The 23,956-nt window shown below is 39.3% G+C and overlaps 1 protein-coding gene across 18 annotated transcripts in view; it reads right to left on the bottom strand.

Annotated features, from left to right (window-relative positions):
* The window catches only part of NTNG1 (netrin G1), a 344,836-nt gene that overhangs the window by 83,973 nt on the left and 236,907 nt on the right, over window positions 1-23,956 (bottom strand). For all 18 annotated transcript variants that reach the window (XM_017000683.3, NM_001312688.2, XM_047449449.1 and 15 more), the window contains exon 4: window positions 5,625-5,797. In XM_017000683.3, the coding sequence (XP_016856172.1) occupies window positions 5,625-5,797 (173 nt within the window). The remainder of the gene's footprint in view (window positions 1-5,624; window positions 5,798-23,956) is intronic.

Below are 23,956 nucleotides of genomic sequence, written 5' to 3'. Positions count from 1 at the left end.
GGGCTGGGCGTGGTGGCTCACACCTGTAATCCCAGCACTTTGGGAAGCTGAGGCAGGTGGATCACCTGAGGTCAGAAGTTCGAGAGCAGCCTGACCAACATGGTGAAACCCTTTCTCTACTAAAAATACAAAAAATTAGCTGGGTGTGGTGGTGGGCACCTGTAATCCCAGCTACTTGGGAGGCTAAGGTGGGAGAATCACTTGAACCCGGGAGGCAGAGGTTGCAGTGAGCCAAGATCATGCCATTGCACTCCAGCCTGGGCAACAAGAGCAAAACTACATCTCAAAAAAAAAAAAAACTTATTCCACAAACGTTGATGAAGACCAAGAATAAAACATGGACCTATTCTTAAATTTCTCACATTTTAGTTCCTATAATGAGACAGACCTAAGTTTAAATCTTGCTCTGTCATACATTAGCTATGGGACTTTGGAACAACTTAACCTTTCTGTGTCTGCATTTCCTTATCTGTGAAATGAGGATAATAATAGTACATATCTCATGGGGATATTGTGGGGATTTAAACCAATAAAGAGCATAAAGTACTTTATGAAGTGTAAAAGCCTGTAGTAAATTTAATAAATGGTAGCTATCATTATTATAATAATTTTGGCTAAAGATAGTTGACCAGTTGTAAATCTACACACATTATCAATATTTGAGAGAGAGACAGAAGTAATTGATTTTGCATAGGAGAGTCTAGGTAGGCTTCAATGAGGCATTGAGGAGCAGTCTTGAAAAATGAGCAGAATTTCAATATAGAGTGAAGAGAAAAATGCTTTAGGGGAAAGAAATGAATTTAGTATCTAGCATATTGACTTTGAGATCTTTACTGACAGCTGAAAAATTTTTCTGAATTTATTAGAAAGATTGAAGTTAGAATTGGTTGATTACGACTAAATCAATAATACTAAGATCTAAAACCACAAGAATAGGCTAGAATGTCAAGAAAAAATTGTAGACTGAGAACAGCCGGGGTGGGGAACATGGAGATTTAAAAGACTAATAGAAGGGGAATCTTTGAAGGCAGAAAAATAACAGGCAGAGATGAAGGAAGAGGGCAGGTTTAGAGAAAACTGACTTGTTCAAATAGGCATTGAAATGGAGCCTAAATCCCAGTGGAGGACAGAGAAAGTCATCCAAATTTAACTTGATCAGCAATACAGTGCAATGTGCAGTCCTCAGAGTCAAGACCCACCTGGATTCAAATCCTCCCTTTAACCCTTTCTAGCTGTGCAAACCTTAAACAGATCTTTTTCCTCTGAAATCACAATATTCCATGTGTTTAAAATTAAAATAGTAGTATTTGCCTTGTAAGACTATTTTGAGTTTAGAATGGACTAATGTATATAAAGCACTTAGGAAATTGTCTGGATAAGGACACATACATGTGTACACCTGGGAAAATATAAATTGGTCAATGCAAACTTGATACCAGAGAAAATAATAGAACAATCATCAAATTACTTTCCATCACTCAGAGGACCCCTAGATATTGTGTAACAATTCAAGTTAGATTTATGAACAAATAATGTCAAAGTCAGACCAATTTGATTTTCTTTCTTTGAAGACAATTAGACCATGTGGGTAAGAGAAAAGGAAAAGATTGAATACAGCTGAACTTGCTCAGTTTTCTGTCTATCTCCATGACATTTCTATGGCTAGGCTGCAAGAAACTGTTTAGCTCAGCATGTCCCCATAAGAGTGTTTTATAGAAAGTTATTGAATGGTCCATGGAGCAAATAAGTTTGAGAAACATTGGGTAAAATAGGTTGTTTTATTGTAGGACTTTTCAAATGTTTCTATTATAGTAATGTAATATGAATAGTCTATAGTATACAGCATTTTTCAGACTTAGCTGGCCATGGAGTGCTTTTATGGGTCATAGAACATAGCCAGAGAAGGAGAGGTATAGGTATAATATTATATTTGCTGAAGTTAGGATTCCTACATAGTGATTATTAAGCTTTTAGCATCTATATATAGAAAAACATGTGTTATTCCATAGGGATCAGAGTTTAAAGAGTTATTTAATACTTTTATTCATGAGCTGGACAATGGGGAATCAAGAGAATCATAATTAAGCATGAAGTTGGACAGAATTGCTATTACTTGGAAGACAGAAATAAAATTCAAAGGACATCCAAAATAGAATTCTATCAAAAAAGAATGAAGATCAATAAGGAGAAGAAAAATGTCTTTTCTATAAAACATAAGCTTTGTAGAAAAAGAAAGAAAAGATTTTGATATACATGTGCATGGCTTTAAAAGTCCAAGAAAACACACTGGGTCTTGAATAAAAGCATGATGAATAAAAATATCACAAAAGTTACTCTGCCTCTGTCAAGTTTATTGTCATGAAAAGCATAGGGAAATGTGGTGTGTCTCACAGACTGGGGTGGCTATATTTTAGAATGTTGGCCTTCTGACACTTCTGCTTAGCTCTACATGTTTCATACAACAGTGGTCTTGAACTGCTCCAGAATAGAGGACCTCCAAAGCCAAATGACTCCCAGCAAGTTCCCATCTATGGTATCCCTGAGTGGTGGGCTGAGTGTCTTGGGGAAGAATATTGTCATTCCCTGACTTAATTTAAGACCTCCCAGTTGTTCTGTTAAAACTTGTGAAGGTGAACAGAAACTGACCATCCTATTTTTTTTTATTATACTTTAAGTTTTAGGGTACATGTGCACATTGTGCAGGTTAGTTACATATGTATACATGTGCCATGCTGGTGCACTGCACCCACTAACTCGTCATCCTATTTGAAAAATATCCTGGCTACTTGATATTCTGCTAAATCTAGAGATTATCCAGGATGAGTGGCATTTCTAGGTCCCTGAAAAGTTGATTTTGAGGGACCAGAAGTTGTAGCTTTTGTGTTATGTTAGGGGATGATATATCCTAAGTATCCCTCATAGATAACTGACTTGTAACGTACCCACTAGAGTCATGTGAGTGTGTGTGTGTGTGTACCTGTATGCATATGTGTAAGAAAAAGCCAATATGAAGTGAGAATCATAAAACTGCTGAAGGTCCTGTGCTTGGCTGGAAGTACTACACTAATGAATTAGAGGACTTCCAGAGCAGGCAACCAGGTAAAGGACATGAAAACATTAGCACATAAGAATTGGAGTCGATAATGGTTAATCTGGGGAAGAAATAAAGCCAGGGTCGATATACTTCCTTTACTACTTAAAAAGAAAAAAAAAAAAGGTTTGATAAGAAGTAACTTTTATACCAGTTAAAACTGTCCAACAATGGACAAGACTGTCTTATGAAAAAAACTAAAAATAAATTATTTTTTGAATGCTTATTTTGTGACAGGTGTTAGGCTAAACATATGACATGCGTTAGCTTAGTCAACCATCTAAAAATCCACAGGAGGTAATAACTGTTATTATCCTCGCATTAGAGATGGGAAACAGTGTTGGAGAGGTTAGCTTACTTTTTCAAGGTCACATAGCTAGTAAATGGAGAAACTGGGATTCCAGCCTGGAGTCTGTGCACTAAACTACTAAACTGCTTACTTCCATCCTCAGATGCTTTAAAGCAGAGTCTGATGTGTCAGAGATTTAGTCAAAGGGGTTATTCCCATTGCAAGACTGGACCACTGCAGATCTGCAGATAGTTTCTAAAACCCTTCATCTAATTTCTGCCATGCTGATGATTGGAATATTGAATTGAACCCCTTTGGACACTGGGTCCATCCATCACCTGCCTATTTTAACATCAATGAGGAAAAACGTCCAAAATGTATACAGAAAACCAGTAAAACTAAGGGATAGGTGGACAATTGGACCTACAAGGAAAACTGAAAGAAGTTTCATTCCTTTGGTCAGAAAGTGACTTGGTGATCTTCAATATGCAAAGGATTCGGGGTAGGAGACATTTCCATGATGATTATAACAAGAGAATAACAAGAAATCAGTTTCAATGCGAAAGCTTGGATGAAACAAGAAAGTCTTTCCAGTGAAAATGTCTTGAAATAAAAACTTCAAAGTACAGTTACGGGTAGAAGAACAAGGTCACGTTAGAATAGAAGCTGAGGGCTTCAACAGCAGCCTTCCCCTGCTGCCTCTCCAGTGGTCTTGGCAAGCTGACCTGCCCTGAGGACAAGCCAGAATGCCAGGAAGTGTTTGTGAACATCACACTCTTCCAGCCTTTTCTACTAAAGAAGGAGCAGACATTAAAGAGGAAATCTGAGCCATTTTTACTTTAGGAAAGCTTTAAACTAAATTTGACAACTGGGGTCATAGGAGTTCTTAGGTAGCCAGCCACAGGGTATTGCAATAAATAACCTTGCAAGATCCCTTTCAAATTCATGAGTCTGTGGCCCTCAACAATTGAGGAAAGGCCACAGAGTCTCCATCAATAAAATCACCTTGAAACATCCACGTTTCTGCTCAACAGAGCGTTAATGTATTAATTTTAGGAGCAAGAAGTCAAGTTTTTTTTCTTTAACACTGAAAGCAACTGAATACCCTTACAAAGAGGGATTTTTTTAAACCTTTTGAAGGATTTCTTTCTGCTTCATAGAAATGTTATCATAATTTCATGCCCCCATACTTCATGGTTTGTTACTTGGTCCATTACTCTTACGTTTAACTTGATAAAGTCCTGGTTCCTATGATACTAGTTCTTAGGTTTGGTTTCTCACAGCTGCTGCTTTGAAGTGCCTGATAACATTCTTACCCTTCTACGGAAGCAGTGGCTTCTCAAGTTCTGATTCTCCTGTGCTCACTGTCCGGCTGCTTCTGTTAGTTCTCACTGAATGGGGACATTCTAATCTCCCCCTTTCTCTACTTTTTAAAGAGTGCAAACCTTGGGCTGTTGCAGGTAGTTAATTGGTCCATCCATGGAATTGGGCAAATTATTCAGCAAATAATCACATTTCTCTGTGAGCATGTCAGAGCCTGTTTTCCTATGGGGAATCAGGGATTTCAGTGGGGGCACACAGATGGTTTCTGTAAACGCGGATAATGCTTGCACTCTTTCACATGCGTAGAAAAATCTTTTTTCTTAATGTGGTCCCCACAGGCCTACAGTCATGCTCTTTATCCAAAGGGGGCCTCTACACACAGGATCCAAAGCAGGTATGTTTCAATTGCTGGAGTTTGGAAACAGCCAAACTTTTCACAAGGCAAAGTTAGGTCCTAGCTAAAACTGTAGTGGGGAGAAATATTCTGGACAAAGCATCTCTCAGGATACTCAGTAGGGGAAATGGGGCTGTAAACATTCAAATAATTTCTGTAAATTGTTTATGGCTAAAATTAAATTAGGATTGAGAGTTTACAAGGCCTTTGATATTTTAATAGGAAATTAATTTGGGGGAGGAAAAAAATCACCTCCTGTCTCATCCACTTATAAAAAATTCCTTCTGTGATGTCAAGTATCATTTCCCAACACATTTGATGTGAATGTTAGATGACTGAATTTTACTGATGATCAGAGTGCTAAAAGATGTCTACATGAGGTAAGATAGGGACTGAAACTTTCGCTGCACTTTAAAGAAGAATGAGACAACTGGTAAGAGGAATAAAATCACAATTGTAAGCAAAATTGAGAGGAACTATCACCTCATGGTGCACAGAATATGCTGTTACCAAGCAAAGTTACTCACAGGTATTTGCAGTGCCTTTGGGGATGGGGAGATAGGAGCCTGGACTCCAAGGTCGGCCCTGATAATTCTTCTTGCATTTCCCACAGTCTGGACCTGTAGTGTTGTGCTCACATTCGCATGTCAATTTGCTGTTGTCATACACACATACAGTGGCATGGAGATTACACTTGCACCTGGGCAGAGGAGAGACAAAGAGTTCATTGTCAGATAAGTTGGTCTTGGTGACCACTGAGGCTTCCCTGATTTGTCTCCTCAAACCATGCAGTGCTTTAGTGATACACAGAGGCATTTAGTAAGAGATAGATTTGCAGGCCCAGCCCTCAGAATCTTCCCCAAAAGAGCCGTTTGCAGGGGGCAGGGTTGTTACAATGTAGTCTGTCCTTACACTGTACATTGAGAAAGCCGAATAGCAGTCAAGTCAGTGGGGGCCTGAAGCTCCCGCAAGATAACTGTGCTCCAAAATCAAGGGGTTCCCAACAGGTTCCAAAATACTGTCATTTAGGAAAAGGTCTTTTTGTGATATTAACAGATCTATGACAATTTCATCTGGGCTTCGTTTGGGTTTAAAGAACAATGTTATCTTTTTTCTTTAAATCGTTAAGACAATTCTTATTTGTTTAAAAAGGAAGATAACCATTAAAATAATTTGCTATTCAGACTTATTCTTAGAAACCCAAGAAATTATAATCAAGTGTTCTCATTCTGCACTCTAAAATGACATTTCCTCAGATCAGAAGAGATTTTCCACCAAGGCTGCTAACAGACCCGAAGGGGGGTGAGACACAGTAATCCTCAGACATCCCACTCACAGCAAATCGGAGAATCACAAAGGGCTCTCAGAAACAGGCCAAATGACTCTAATTAAAAATGCCTAGAATCCTAAAGGAGAAAAAAAAATCCTTCATGTGGCAGGGTTTGGAAGTCATTAGCCAAGGCCTGGCCTTTGCTGCCTATGAATAAAGCCATGATATATGAGAGGCAACAATGGAATATGCAATTTCCACAAAAATACATCCCAATGCCCGAAGTCTTTGACTATAAAATTGCAGTGGCTAACTTGATATTTGTTGAGGCAGCAGGATATAAACTGTATCACACCATATCCTCTGGAAAGGTAAAACCTACATTGACAGAATGGCCACAACCAGAGGTCAGAATAATGTATGTGGGAAGAGATGGTCCACACATAGGAGAGAACCTGGGCATCCAGCCTGGGCAGGGGTAGAGAACCAAGATAGGTCTGAATCAGAACCAGAGAGAGAGAGAGATTGACAGTGTGTGTGTGTGTGTGTTTATGTGTGTGTGTGTGAGAGAGAAACATGGCCTCTTCCAGGAACTAGGACAAAAATATAGAAAATCAAGTTTCATAAAGACCAAAAAATATTATAGTATTTTATTTTATTTTATTTTTCTCTTGGGCCAAATGCCATGAATGGGAAAAAGAACAGAATGCTCTTTCTTAGGTAGGAAGATAAGACTCCTTAACAACCATGTTGGCTTCTCTAATGTCTGTATAGCAATGGCCAAGTTTTTCTTTAGTGCCTCCATAATCTTTCTGGAACACTGACCCATACTTACGGCAAGGAAAAAAAGGAATGGTTAAGACTATTACTGAAAGCTGTTGGGCTCTCTTTTAACTAAAAGGTGTAGTCCTAAAGCAATCACCATCTACTCAAACCTGTCTGGGAAGACCAAGCTACAGCTTTCTCGGGGGTCTATTACAATGTTTAATACTTCTTGCTACAATCTGTTCTCTGTGTACTTATGAATTATAATAAGCTTGTTCAACTTAGACACATAAATGTCACCTTTGAAAATGAACATTTGTATATTCCTTAAAAAGGTAAGATAAAAAATAATTCAGTTAAATAGGCAATGTTTAATTATGAGCTAGGTCCTATAATAATCTCCTATATGCAGGGAATTACTTGTGCTAGGTTGCTTATTAAAGCATCTTTCTCCTTCCAACATTAACACCTTTATTTATGGGTGTGTTTCTATATACGGAGGATGTTTAAAACCTAAGTGATAGAAGCACCAGCTTATACTGATTTAGCACCATATCTGGTGTTAAAAATTCCAAATGAGGAAATTGAACAATGTGATCCCAAAGAATATGCTGGTTTCCTGCGTGAAGATCAAGAATGCAAGGAGTAATTGTAAATTGGATTATGTATCTTGTAACTGTTAATACTTTCATACTTGTAGTCACTCTGAGTTACAGGCAATTTCCATTCTAAAGACATTATATTAGCTGAGAAGATATTCTTTGAATAATAAAAGGAGGTAAAAGGAGAATAGATGAATGTTTAGTCTTATTTTTTCTCAGATTTCTTCCAATTAATGGCTCATTCTCAGCTGTCCTAAAGCTTATTAACCATTCAAGGCTCAACTCAATTCATAACCTGAATCCATCCTGACCACTGTACATAACCCTGAGTTCTACTCTTCTGATTTCCTTAAATGTGTCCGTGTGCTTGGATAGGTTGTTACTAAAGGCTTTTCATACTTATAAATTTTCTCACTCATTGCACAAGCCTCTCCCATCTTAAGGTGAGGAAATACCTGCTGTGCATTTGGTCATCTTCTCTAGCTACCTCCTAAGTCCTCTCCCCTCCCTTCTTGAGTTTCCTATACTTGCCATCTCCATTCTCTCATCTCCCACTCACTCAGTCCTTCCAAATGTCCACAGCCTCCCTTGTCAAATCACCCACGACCTCCTTGTTGAAAATCCAATGGATACTTTTCCATGCCTTATTTGTTTCCTCAGGGGCTGGGACTCTGGACCACTCCCTCTCCCCTGACACTCTCCCCTCTGGATACCCAAGCTCGTTTTCAGGAACCTCTTCAGCCTGTTGACTACACATGCTGTTCTCTGGGTTCTGGCCTAGCACAGCCAGCTCACTCTCCTTGCGCACTCTTATCTAGTTGTCCCTTCAATCTTTGTCTGCACTCCTTAACTTCCTTCGCATTACAAACCTTTTAAAGCAAATTCACATCATCTTCCCCACCCCAAATAAATATATTTAAAGGAAGCTCAAAGTGTGAAAACACTTTAGGATATTCGAAGATTCTCTGTTACCCACTGGGGTCCATAGAGCCCCCTCCCTCCATTACACCACATGAAGAATATCTAATCAAAATGCTGGTAAGTCTGGGCTCTGTATCTCCATCTCAGATCTCTCTCCCAGGCTTCAGACTTATTCATCAAAATGCCTCCTGGACATACTTAACTCAATATGTCCCCAAACTAAACTCTTTGGCTTCCTGCCTCACCCATTCTTCCTTCTGTGCTTTCTTAGTAAATTGTACCATCTTCCACCCAGTTAGGCAAGAATGATGTATCCCTCTCCTTTTCCTACCACATCTAATCTGGCATTAGTCAGTCTCTCACCATGCCCTGAGATTCCTCTTTGATATGGTTTGGATATTTTGTCCCCTCCAAATCTCATGTTGAAATGTGATCTCCAATGCTAGGGAGGGACCTGATGGGAGGTATTGGAGTCATGAGGGCAGATCTCTCATGAAGGCTTGGTGCCCTCATTGTGGTAATGACTGAGTTCTCCCTCCATGAGTTTTTGCAAGATCTGGCGGTTTAAAAAGTGTGGTACCTCCCTCCCCCATTCTTGTTCCTGCTCTTGCCATGTGACATGTCAACTTCCCCTTTGCCTTCCACCATGAGTGGAAGCTTCCTGAGGCCCTCATCAGAAACTGAGCAGATGCAGGCATCACGCTTCTTGTACACAGCTTACAGAACTGTAAGCCAAAATAAGCTTCTTTCCTTTATAAATTACCAAGTCTTAGGTATTTCTTTATAGCTGTGCAAATGGACTAATGCACTCTTCCTTGATTCTCTTTCCAATCCATACAGTTCTAGCAACAATCACTTTCTTAGCTGTGATCATCATCTTTGATCTGGTTTATTACAAGAACTTCTAAACAGAATTTTGTGCTCCAGGCATGCCCCTCTCTACCCAATCTCAACACAATAGTCCAAATATTTTTTTACACAAATATATTTTGGGTCACTTCTGGAATAGAACCATTGTAAGATTTCCCATTATTTTCAGGATAGAGTCCAAGCTCTGTTACATGGCTTGCAAGTTCATTTTGCAATTTATCTCTTGCCCCTTTTCCAGCTTCATTTGTACCACTCCTAACTCTACACTTAGTTCTTCAAGCTTTGCCTTCAGGTACTCTTATAAGCTGTTTCTTCTGCCTACAGCATTCTACTCTCCTATTCCTACCTCTTTGATCAGGATAATTCTTCCCTTCAGATATTAACCTGTATATGTCAGTGGCTGGCTCCTTTCTGGTATACAAAAAATATCTGCCCATAGTTGGAATGTTTCTCTGGTCCACCAGGATGCCTTTTCTGTGTGCTCCTATGACATAAGGCAAGGCTGGTTGCATAATAAAACCCATAGCATCTTTGCTATAGACTGTAGACTGTATTTTAATTGCTTATTCTGTCATCCTCACTAGAGGATAAGTTCCTGGGAGGCAGCAGTCATGTCTGCTTTATTTATTGTAATATCCCTAGTGTGTGTTGCTGTTCTTGGCACATAATAAGTGCTTGAAAACTTAGACGATTAAGACAAATGATAATAAAGTAAGCTTCCTGAAAGCAGGAATGTCATATGCATGTTCTACTGTGTCTAATTTGACAATGGACTAATTAATGAAAAATTAATAGACATTGTACTAAATTAAACACTCCATGATGTGTGTTGAAAACTGCCACATGCCCTAATTGTTGGTTTTCATAACTTACACTACATTGGAGAAAGGAGACGCTATGAAATTTGTGAGATATCATAAACCCAGTTTAATTTCATTTAAACTCCAGGGGATTCATCAGATGACTGAAACCCAAAACAAGAGCTTCTTAAACAATGTTTGAAAGACCTAGGAAAAGAACACAGCTCAGGGGAGAGAAAAAAACAAAGCATTTGCATAGCGTAATTATTCTGAAATGTGCCTCTTTTAGCTTTAATGTCTCATGCAAGGATGGCCACCCTGGTCCAGCTGAAGTTGGAGGAAGGGCATTGCTTGAACGTTGGCTAAAACTGTAACTTCACATCTGGTGAAGCTTTTGGGCTGTCTTTGCTTAGTCAGTGTAACAATTGCTGTGCTGGGGCTGAACACTGCAAGTAGAGGGTGAGGCACCAGGGCACTTCCTTTGTTTGGAGAGGACTCCCTTTCATTTTCCACAACTCAGTTTATCCTCACCAGCCCCATTCCAATCAGATGTGAAAACCTGTGATTTAGAGCCCTTGCCAGAAAAAAAACAAAAAAACAAAAACATTTCACAATGCTGGGAGATTGCTGTCAATTCCTGGTGCTGTGACCTCCGGCCTCACGATGTGTAGAGGGCAGACTTCTGTGACGTCCCACTTGTCTCTGACAGATTCATTATCCATTCCCATGGCCATCCAGCTCCCACGTCTATTTATCCTGTCGCTTTAGGCAGGGGAGGACTGGACAAGTGGAGACCGAAAAGGCTCTGCTAGCAGTCACATGTCTGATGTTCTCGAGAGCCAAGTCTATTCACCGATTCTGTTTACACCCACAGTACTCATACCTAAGCACTGCAGATAGAACTAATTGACCTGCGTGTTCCTTGAACATCTACTTGTGTGCAAGTGATAAATGGCAGACATTGCCAAATAAGGGTGTCGCTAAGGCAGACTTAAAAGAAAAAGTGAGCTCTAGTCTGTGATGCAAACTTTACGAACACCAGTGTGTTCTCGCTTTCAACCAGATCTGCACTTCCTGTATTTTAGTGACCAGCTGTCATGAGTCAATTTAATCTTGCTTATAAAAATGCTCCAACATTTAGTTCTGTGCCACCTGCCAGTAGGTATGAAAAACCTATACCGTCTGCCTCATTTTTTTATTTTTTTATAACTTAATATATCTATTCTGGGAAGCCTGTTATCTGCCAGAATTTCCTGTGAGCTCGAGGTCCATATAGCCTATTACTAATGTTCAAAATAGAGGTACTGAGACAAAGAAATTAAAAAAATGTCCCTTTGTGAAGAAAAACATGAATGCAGGCCAGGCTTCCTGTTGTGCAGTCAGAGTTTTGGTTACTTTTGTGCCATAGGAGGATTCACCATGAAGTGGATGAAGTTTAGCTTCGGGGCCCTTTCAGGGCTCTGAGGACGACCCTAGCAATATGTTCACATGGTAATATGCTTTGGTATAATTTACTCAAGTAAGATATTTATTTATTTTTATTAATGAGGGTTTTTCCTTAATGAGGCCCCTTGGGTCCCTGCATCCCCAAAGGAAGTAAGTTTTAGGCATTCCAAAATGTGGATCATCCTCTGCTTGCGCCTCTTCCCTTGGATTGGCACTAGCTATACAAATGCTTTTAGAGAACGTGTTAGCACAAATATTGGAGCTTGTAAATATCTTTTTAAAAGAGTGATACATTATACAGTGCCTCTCACATTCTTTTTCTGTCTCTGCAGCCACCTTGACTTTTGACTTTCTTTACATAGACACATGAATTTCCAGTTCCCACCTTAACACATTACTTGAAATGGGAGATGTGCAACAACATAACTTAGAGTTGATGAGTTATGACACTGGGACACTGAAATAGACAGCCTGAGTTCAAATCCCTCCTTTGCCACTTACTTACTGTAAGGCCAGGATAAGTAACTTAACAAATCAACAACTAAACAAAGCTACCATTGTCTGAATAATTCTAAGCACCTGGCATTGTGCTCATTGCTTTTTGCATTTTTCACATATTGTTTCATACCAAGCTCACAACAATCCCATGAGACCTGCACTAATGATTACAGATGATCATGCATTTGAATATTAAAGTGTTCTGAATCCCAGCAGGTACAAAATGGAGCAGGGATTTAGACCATGGGCAGCCTGCCTCCAGAACTTTGCTCTTACAACTGCAGAGGGCATTCACTCTTGCTGAGTACAGCTAAAATTCAGCTGCCTTTTCTGTAAAACAAGGGCAAGAAATGGAGGGGTTTCAAAGGACGGTTGTGGGGCTTGAACCAGATGATGCATGTAAGCCCTTAAGATAGTATCTGACACAAAGTTCTTAACAAATGTTAGTTTCCTTTATTATTTCTATAGTTACTATCTCTACTACTATGGACTTGGGCTGTCTGATTCATTCTGTGGGCATTAATTAATGGGATAGTCTATGGATACACCATGAGAGGTCGCATAGGGATTCAAACAGAAGGCAATATATAGTCCTAATCCCCAAGAACATAGAATCTGTTGAGTAGAGAAGATGAAACATACACAGAATAACTACAGACTATAAACAGAGTAATACTCTCTGTATCTAATCATGACAATATAACAAAGTAGGGTAGGGACACTTAGTTGTCTCTCCAGTGATGATGATGCCTTTGCACTGAACAATCAGAGGGAGACAGTCTCTATTACGGAAGGCAAGTGGAAAAAAGAGGGCCAACAATTACCAAGGCCCTTCATATACCTGGAACTGTAATAGATGCTTTATGTACATTATTTCACCTCATCCTCATTATCACTCTGAGAAGGAGGTATAATTACCTGTTAGTTTCAGATGTGTGGCTGAGAGCAGTAAAGTAACTTGCTCAAAGAAACACACTGCTGGTAAGTGGCAGCCAAGAGTCAATTCCAAAGGCTGGATCTAGGACATTACTCTCTCTGAGATTAGAACTAAGCAATCTGGTTCATATAACAATTAGACTCAAGGTTCTAGACAGCCACATTAACACTTAATACTCTAATGTTGCTAATCAATGTGTGGTCCATGGACCAGCATCTTCTGTATCAGCAGAGGGCTTGTTAGAAATCCCAGGCTTCCTCTAGGCTTACTAAAGCAGAATCTGCAACGTTAACAAGATTTCACATGACTTAGATGCACAGTAAGCTTTGAGAAACACTGTAGAGCTCACCAGTATGTCAGAGTTCTGATGAACAGAAAAACTAAAATATGGCTGAGGCTTATGCAAGCCCTCTCCCTTCTACCAGAATAAAATTTTTGGCCCAAACTGGACTAGCACTAAGGTTCTAGCTGTACTCACAAACTGGACTGATTATTTTGTTTGGAAATTCTGTCAAATCTACTAATTGGTGCATTCATACAATAACTGAACAATTTAACTATATCAAAATGGGTTGCACTTACTGTTTAAAATGGTATTTATGTTTAGAACATATTAGGAATGCTAACAACTGATTTATAAAATGACAAATAACCCAATTAGAAAATGGGTGAAGAATCTGAATAGATATTTTAAGAAGACGATATACAAATAGCCAATAAGCACACGAAGAAATGCTCAACATTATTTGTCATTAAGGGAGATGCAAATCAAAATGACAATGAGACGCCGATTCACACTAGGATGGCTGTAATAAAACAAAGATGGATGATAACAAATGCTGCAAGGATGTGGAGAAATTGGAATCCTCAGAGATTGCTATTGGGAGTATAAAATGTGTTTTTACACTTTCAAAGTGGTACAGCCATTTTGCAAAATAGTCTGGCAGTTCCTCAAAAAGATACAGTTACCATATGACCCATAAATTTTACATCTAGGTATTTATCCAAGAGAACTGAAAATATGTCCACATAAAAACTTGTACGCAAATATTAAAAGCAACATTATTCATAATAGCCAAAAAGTGAACACAACCCAATGTCCATCAACTGATGAATAGATAAACAAAATTCAGTATATCCATACAATGGAATATTATTCTGCCATAAAAAAGAATGAAGTACTGATACATGCTACAGCATGAATTAACCTTGGAAGCATTGTGCTATGTGAAAAATGTCAGACACAAAAGGCCACGTAATATCTGATTTCCTGCCAGGAGTGGTGGCACACGCCTGTAATCCCAGCACTTTGGGAGGCCGAGGCAGGCAGATCACTTGAGGTCAGGAGTTCAAGACCAGCCTGGCCAACATGGCGAAACCCCATCTCTACTAAAAATACAAAAAAAAGTTAGCTGGGCCTGGTGGCGGGCGCCTGTAATCCCAGCTACTCAGAGGGCTGAGACAGAAGAATAGCTTGAATCCAAGAGGTGTAGGCTGCAGTGAGCCGAGATCATGCCATTGAACTCCAGTCTGGGCAACAAGAGTGAAACCCCATTTCAAAGGAAGAAAAAAAAAAAAATATATATATATATATACACACATATATATATATACATACATATAAGTATATATATGTGTATATATATATACATACATATAAGTATATATATGTATATATACAGTTTCCTTCATATGAAATGTCCAGAATAGGCAAGTCTATAGAGACAGAAAGTAGATTAGTGGATGCCAGGAGATGGGGAGAGGGGCACGAGGGGCACATGGGGAGTGACTGTTGATGGATAGGGGCTTTTTGAGTGATAAAAATGTTCTGGAATTAGACAGTGGTGATGGTTGCACAACATTTTGAATATACTAAAAACCACTGAATTGTACATTAAAAAAAAAAACAAAATTCTTAAAAGTATGGCATTTATCCAAAATAGAATAGAAAACAGTGGATAAAAGTTTCAGCCCTGGAATCATGTAGCCCTGTGCAGCAGGAAGTTTTAGGCAAGTTCCTTAAGCTCAATTTACTTACTCTGTAAAATGAGGATAATAAGATACCTACAAAAGGGGTTGTTAGGAGCATTAAATGATATGACACAATGAGGCCAAGACTGGTAACTGATATATAATCTTTTTTTTTTTTTTCCTCACAACAGCACAGTTTTAGCTGGGTACACAGTCACCAGTATAAAGATAACACCTCTCAACACCTTCTCTAGCTAGGTGTGGCCATATGACTATGTTCTGACCGATGGGGTATTAGCAGGCATGGCGTCTGTGAAACTCATTCCTCAATTTCTCATTTATTTCCTGGAATAAGAACACAGTGTGGAGCCATCATGGACCACATGGACTATGGCAGAGACCAGGACCACATGGACTATGGCAGAGACCAGGACCACATGGACTATGGCAGAGACCAGAGAGTAGTGGCGTGGCGGTGAGGGGACTGAATCCCAGCCCTCAGACAACTTCCACTGTAATTAGGGAACGTGTGTCAAAGTGGGTATATGGAGCAGAGGCCACGATCCCAGTCCTAGGGCACTGTTAACGTGAGTCTGTCTTCCCACAACTGATATCTGAACACAGGGCCTGGTATATATTAATCACTTAATAAATATAAGCTATTATTATCATCACTTGTATAATTAAGTACAATATTACAGCAAAAGCCTAGATCATGAAATGTCAAGTGTGCCTGGCCTGATCCTGATACCAGAGGAAAGAGAAGACTCCAATCTGTTCAGCATTCTATGATTCCATTCTTTATTAATAAAAACCCAGAGTTTGACAGTAGTTATCCCTGCTAAGCAAAAATGTTTTTAGAAGATGTATTTTTCCAAAATATGCAATGACCAAAGTTTAATGTGAAATAGATATCTTCTTATAATTTTTTGAAAGCAGCCACATGTCAACAGACCAACAAAGAGGACAACAGCCAATTTGCATACGAATTCCTGTATTATAGGAGAAGCATACATGAAAGAAGGGGCATTAGGGCTCTAGGCAGCCTCTCTGCAAACCCAGAGGCCAGGTTTCCATAGAGTTCTTGAGCTCATTCTTTCACAAGTATAATGAGTACCTAATATAGCTCCTGGTTGATGGGATTTTCTTGTCTTGGGCTCTGTTCTTGAGAAAATTATCTTTGGAAACTGACTGGTATAGACTATAAAGAAAAAACAAATAAACAGAGAAATAGACTGCTATGCAGTTTCCTCTGGGAATGTAAACTAAAAACTGAGATTTTGATCATTTCTTCATGGACAGTGGGATGCTGTGGTCATATATATAGAGAGAGAGAGAGCAATTGGCTTGCCCCAGAAGTTGATGGAACAAGGACCAGAAAGTCTTCTTGTACATTTAGGCAATAAATGAGTTAGACATCTTGGCATTTAAAAAAATTATCTAAAATTCCATTTAAACCTTACTTGAGCCTCTAAACTTGAGTATAGTGAAGCATCAGATTACATGATTCAGTAAACTGCTGGTTCTATTAGATAATAGTAAAAGTTGCCCTATTCTATTTCTAAGCTTGCAAGGGAGGCTAGAGTACCATGACTATAAAATGAAGATAGGAGCTTATAAGTTTGAGATAATGAACTGCTCAAGATTGGTGCAGGAATATGATGGTGCTCCGTGACCATTTGCTAAACTCATGAGGAATCTGGTTAGATAAGGAGTGCTGAAGGATAAAAGACATAACAAGATAATTACTACAATCCAGATTGCAACCGTTCTCCACAAAACCAATCTATCCGAAGACTGGTAGGCAAAAGGCTTGTTAAATTAAAACTAAGTGAACCCAAGGCCAATAAGCAATTAACAGCATTAACAAAACTAGGTGCTTAATATATGCACAGGTGTGGCAAACTTTTATATTCTACGTCCTTTTGAGGAAACAGAAAGTTTAGGGTATTCCAGCCCCAGAAATACAAATGAACAACGTTCAAGTAACCAGAGTCTATAAGAGGAATAGGGTAACATAGTGTTAAGAGCTTGGACTCTGGTGACAAAAGGGGCTGAGTTCAAGTCCTGGCTCTCTCATTAACCTGCTGGGTGCATCCAACTGAGTCTCAGCTTCCTTCTGTGTAACTCAAGACTATTATTATTAGCTATAATGTAGGACTGCTATGAAGATAAATAAAATAGTCCTAGAGCTTATAAAGATTTGTGATGTATTCAAGCTATTTTCACACATATTCATCCATTCTGTGGTTTATGGTAACCAACTTCTATATTAGATCTCTTTCTTTTTTTCTCTTTATAGAACCACATAAGTGAAATATTTCTTTCATTTAGGTTTTTATTTCCGATTTGATGTGAACTATACCATGATAATTTCTTATATACTTCCTTGGATTAAACAATATAATTTTTTATAGGGGAAACTGTGAGAAAAGAAAAATAGAGCAAGAATAAACCTAATGCTCTCTTGGGTTTTGCAAAGCCACAGAGTTCAGGCAGGCTCTGGCTAGAGAGCTGTGAGCCATCTGACTCCATAGCCCTCTTCTATCAGGCTAGATTATCAGGTAAGGTTTTGATATCTCTTAAATATGTATACTTGTCTACTTAAAAAAAGATTATTTCATCAAATGGTTATATTACACTCTGATTAGAAATGGATCAGGCTGAGTAAATAGCTCTATGACTAAGAATTTTAAAACATCAAATCTGTGTAAAAGAATACTACACTCCAGCAACTTTATTCCATACTTTTAGTTTTTACTACAAAATTCGAGAGGAAATTGAATTGGATTCCCATGGGTGGTATGGAAAATTGGGGAAAATAGCTTTCTTCTAATTCTCCCTTTTCTGAGAAATAAAATAATTTCCAATAGAGAAGAGTGCACCTAGCAAAGCTCTTTTTTTTTTTCCTCTTATTTGGTGGCCTACTTTTGTTAATAAGCCTTGGAAAAGTTGAAGTTTTAAAGACCAAAAACAAAACAAAAAATAAAGAGAGAGAGAGAGAGAGAGGAAAAGGGAAAACAAAACCAAAAACCCAAGCCCACCAAAGGAATCTGATCTTATTTGTCAAGACCAATGACCCAAACTGTGCCACTTAAGAATAGAAACAAAGGTTTTAAAGCAAAGACACAAAGAACCCTGAAAAGAGAAATGAAGAACAGCAATGATGTCTGAAATGATACAACAGATAGGACATGGCCAAGAAAAAAATAACCAGATAGTGACTACTGGACTTCTTGACACTGTCATAATTATAGTCAATGCCTGCAATCTTTCTGTCTATCTGGTTAAATATTCCAAAATGGAGTCTGCACAAAGTGTGTACAAATGTTTTAATGAAAAGTGAAATTTAAAATAATTTAACATGGATCAATGTCACATTTTTAGAGTCAAATGATATACGATCAAGAGACACTAACTAGCTGATTCACTAGTTGGGCTGGGCTGGCTTTCTGGGGCTAATTTCTTTGAAATTTAAAGGGTTTGATCTATGTTGAAAAATGTCTCACATTGGCTCCTTGACTGTCCCCACCTTCTGGCAATATCTAAGTTGTAGTGAGGTTGCATGCTGTAGCTTTTGCACACCCCAATACCTTCTTCCTTCTTTGATAACAACCCTTTGGGACCACTCTTCCTCATTCTCAGGTTAAGCAATTCCCAACTTCCAGCAAGGAGAACAGAGAAGCCAGGTTCAGCCCATCAATCCATTCTATCTTCCTGACACAATGGTTGGTTCAAGGAAAATTGAACCAACCATTGTGATTGGTTCAATTTTGAAACCAACTATGAAAATTGGCCCTGGGGCCTTTGCTGAGATCATGGGAGAGACAAGTCCTTTTAATTACAATACTGCCAACCTGATAGAAGGTAAACTTGGAACTGGTCATCATTTTGGCCATGACATGGAGAATCCCGGCTTAGAATAAAGCCAAGACAGAAGAGAGCAGAAGCAAGAGCCAGGGTCAATGTCCTGATGACTTTATGTAGCCCATGATCCAGCCTGTCTGAATCTAGCTGTGTCCTGGATTCCTAGTTATGTAAGCCAAATAATCTCTATTTGGTTTAAACTGGTTTGGATTATTTTTCTAACACTTGCAACCCAAAGATGCTAACTAACATACCTGACTACAGCACAGAGTACATCACGTTACTTCACCTCCCAACCTGAATGAGCTAGACTGGATGCAAAACAATGGATTGAGCAGCAATCTGCAACTTATGGCCTGGCCTGAAAACATGATCTGGATCAACCAGAGTTTTCTACCTAGCATTTAGCTTTGGAAAATGGAGAAATGATATCACTAGGAGGCAGGCATTAGAATATGCTAATTTCAAAGCCCATTCTAGTTCTAATCTTATGCAATGCTTACGAAACAAATTAGTTAAAATAAAGTGACTTTTTTTTTTTTTTTTTTTTTTTTTTTTAGTTAAAGAGAAAGGTGCTATATTTTGGAGTTAGAGAAAACTGGATTTGACTCTGCCCTTTATCACTTTAAAAGCTGTTTGACCTTAGGCTAGTGACTTTGCTTCTCTAGGTCTAGCTCCTTATCTGTAAAATAGAGATGACAATAAGCTCTTCATTTGGTTTTATTGTGACTTTTGAATGACATAACATGTCAAGTGCCACCATCAACACCACATGAGTAGGTACTTGATAAGTTTTAGGTCCTATCTGATGTCATAATCAATCATTTATAAAATAGTTGTTTAATACTCACAATATAGAGGACCCTGTGGTTAAGTTTTTACTATTTCTGAGCATTGAACCATTGATGAACAAGCAAAACAAACAGATGAAAGGGACCTGATGTTTCAACTCATACTCCAGGGTCATCAGATTTTCTCATTTTTGTTTTATATTTAACAGAAGTGTTAAATATTTTTGTTTTATATTTAACAGAAGTGTTTTGTTTTATATTTAACAGTAGTGTGGAGGAAAGGAACCAGGACTATGAGCTTCTTGAGGGTAAGGGACCAGCAGGGGATGGTCAGGGTATGGTCAGGGGACAGGCAGGGCTGAATCCCCAGGTCCTGAGCAAGGCCTTCCATGGCGCCTGGTGTGCAGTAAGCTCTTAATAAACACTTGCTGGAAAAAATTATCTAATTCTATCTCCTCGCTGTGGAAATATGAAAACCAGGATCAGAGAAATAATAATAACAATAGTAAATTAGCTAGCACTATTGAACTACTTCATGTTTAAACATGCCTTCATAAGAATACATTTTCCTAACAGTGTAATGGTGTTTTACTTCATTTATACAGCAGCTTTATGAGAGAGATACAAGAAAGTATCACTATCCCTATTTTACAGATAAAGAAAAAAATCATCCCTAGGGAGTATATGTGTAACAGAATATAAAGCCAAACTGGTTTTAAAGTGATAACATAATGACTTAGCTCTTCTCCACACACCTCCTTCTCCCATCTCCCCCAAGTCCTATTAGCAATACTTTAAACAAAGTAAGGCAACTTTCATCTTTTAAGTGTTTGAAAATGGAGATCACTTTGCCTTGCTTTATTTGCCAAAAATTTCTGCTATGGCTTTAACAGGTTATCAAAAATCATTTGATGGAAAAAAAAGAGAGATTAATTAGGGTTTTGTGCTTGAAAAAATAAAAAGTGGGTAGCATCATTGCCTTTCAAATTTTCCTGTGGCCTCCCCTGAAGGTCACTGCAGACAGTTCTCCCAACAGTCAGCTTCATAGTCTCTGCCTTTTGCCTTAACATGCTTGATGCTTGGCCAGTCAAGTTGAACAGGCCAGAGGTGATTTAACTTCCCAGGAGCAACTCTCAAAGAAACAGATGTTTGAGGATAAATACTCCAGTATTTTTTCCCACCCCAGGGAGATAGTTCTGAGAATAGCATCTTTATTGATGTTCTTTCCTTCTCTTGTATCCTGGTCTTCTATCTCAAGTCCAAAATGCTCCAATTTGAATTCCACTTGCTTTACCACCTGCTAGCAGGTTGCTTAACTTTTATGTATCTTAATTTCCTCATCTGTAAAACTGGATTTTAACAGTACCTACATTATTAGGTTGTTAAGAATAACAAATTATTATCTTTGAAGTATTTAAAAAATAGTACCTGACACATAGTGCTTGCTATCATTATTACCACCTTCATTATTCTTGTTATTATTTTGGTTGTGGGAAGGAGGGCTGATAGGGCACTAGAGAAAGCCAAGATCTCCAAATTCCTGACTTGCAGAGTTCTTTGTAACAGTATTGCTAAATTATCACATGAAAGGTTTCTGGATCTATATGGCTGGCAGCTTAGGATATGACTAATACCATTCATGTTTTTATCTCTCATGAATTGTGTAGTTTGGACACAATTTTAAACTTTCAGGTGCTTGAATCAAATCTGAAGGCCACTGTTGATCCCTGATCCTCAGAGAGTGAGGATATAGCATCTGAAACGAAGGTGGAAGGTTCTGGAAGTCTTATAGGTCTTTACAATTCCGTAGAGATGACCATAGAAATGAAGCGACATGTGCTTTTTAAAATAAAAACCACATGATGCTGACAATAACTGCCACGATGCAGTTCCAGACCTTGAGGTTTCCCTTCATTTGAGGACCCGCCTGAAGAGCAGCCTTGCAACAAAAGCAAATGGAAATTGCCTCTCCTGCAGGACTGGAAATATCAAATGCAGAGTGTGTGGTAGCCTTTTAATCCACAGGGTAGCAAAGTAAAGGTCAATTACCTCAGAGGAATGAAAGGCATGTAGTAAAAGTCAAATAGATATGCCATTAGATAATGTATTTCAAGCATGAAAATGAGGATTTTTCTATTGCAGGGTTATATTTAATGCAGTGGTAAACACAAGAGCTTTATGACAAAGAGTAAGATACAAGGTTGACAGTGAATCTGCCTAACAGAGTGCCCTCTGTTTCATGTGTGGGGGGACTGTGCAGTCACCATTGATTGGTGTCAGGACCCTGCCAGGAAGCAGGCAGACTGGCCCCACAACCCGCCAGACTGAGCCAGGAGGAACAGGTGCTTCCAAGGGTGGCTCTAGGGATTTAAGTCCGTCAAGACACTCTCAGCTATGCCAGACCAGCCTCTCTGTCTGTAGTCTGTCCTGACCTGTGAACCTGTACCTTGGGCTTTTCTCCTTCCTCGACATTCTTCTCCTGAGCCTGACATTGGCTCCATACCCAGCTCTGCCCTCCATCATTGGTGAGTCAGGTTTAACAAACTCATTCCCAGCTCCCGTGGCTGTGACTCTGCATTCCAAGGCTGTTCCCCCATCCCCAAGTACCCCAGATTTGAGTCTCTACTTTTAACCAAGACCAATGTGTATCCATCCTTGGTTTCTGCATTTGTGGATGATTTGATTTGAAGTGTCTGACCCTGATTTTTACATTCCGGTCACTTGTTTAGAAAGGGCTCTTTCCCTGCCGAAAGCAATCACCTGGCCAGGTCTCTGGATATATCTTCTTCCCTGGCTATGCGATCAGTCTTTCACCTCATCAGAAACATCCTCAAGGGTCATAGGCAATGTGCTGAGGCTGGGAGAAGGAGTGCTTCTGCTGCTGACCCAGGAGTTCCTCATGAACCTGGTGTTATTTCACTTGGGGAAGCACAGGGTTGGTTTAGACCTATTGTCTAATTTCTCTGAGCTTCGGTTTCTACATTGCAAGCACGTAAAATAATTCCACTTCTCATTTCTTTTCTAAATATAAGCACTTACATTAAATAGGGACATTTATTTGGTAAAAATGTACTTTAGTGTTAATGAAACCGATTGGCAGTTCTGCCAGCAACATCACCATTGGATTAGATCTGTGTGGCAAAGTCTACCTTAGTTCTGAAAATCACTTTGGTGAACTTTTCCTTTATGCAATATATAATGCAAGTACCTATCCACTCTTGTTGGGAATGCCCTGATCCTGTGAAATAGCCAAGTGCAGGGACTTCAGCTTGAGATGGTAAGCTTTCTGGTTAGTGACGTAAGTCTGATGCCTCGTTTGCACATCCACACGTCTAGGGAGATTCCCCAGTAAATTGCAATGTATGCTGCCTTATTCCTGAAAATGCTGACTTGTCCTTGGTAGATACATGCATCTTTTTGCCCAAGCACTTGCTCATAGGAAATAAGAAGAGTGCAGGGCACAAGGAGGAGTGTGGTGCTCTGATCTCTTATCCTCTCACTGGAGAAAATGCTGTGAAGAGGAACCAGACTGAGCTTGTGCACACAACCAGGACTGAATTTTGCTGTCTCAAAGGTGAAGTTATGGTGGATTCGACAGACTTAAATGTACTGGTTGAACAGAGCCATTGTTTTTCTCCTGGGCCAGGAGGTCTGGCTGCATTCTCTGGGTAGATGTGAGAATTTCCCTTAAAGAAATAGAATCTTCTCAGACAATTATCCTCAGGCAGGAAATTAGGTGGGCTTTAGAGGGATAAAGGAGTTCTCTTCTCTTTCTCTGGAGCCAGGCAGTGGGGAGCTTGGAGGTGTGGTGGTGACTGAGATAATCCTCCGTTCCTGGCCACATCACTACTGCATGATGCCTCCTGGGAGGTTCAATGTGAGGCCTTAAAACTAGTCACTTACTCTCAGTTTAGTATTCAGTGCTCCCCAAAGCTTCCATCAAGTGTTGTTAAATTCAACAACCTTGTTTTAAGGAAGTATGTGTCCAAAACTGGGGGAAACAGATATGTGACAAGCAGCTCAACTGGCCCCATGTAAGCCAGGAAGAGGAGTCAGGGGGACCCTGAAGCCACACATATCAGGCTCAGGGCACTTTAATCTCCCCCTTTGCAGACCTGCAA

This window comes from Homo sapiens, chromosome 1 (assembly GCF_000001405.40).
Source record: "Homo sapiens chromosome 1, GRCh38.p14 Primary Assembly".
NCBI lineage: Eukaryota > Metazoa > Chordata > Mammalia > Primates > Hominidae > Homo > Homo sapiens.
The sequence above is the reverse complement of the archived record's forward strand: the minus strand, read 5'-3'. Positions and strand labels throughout refer to the sequence as shown.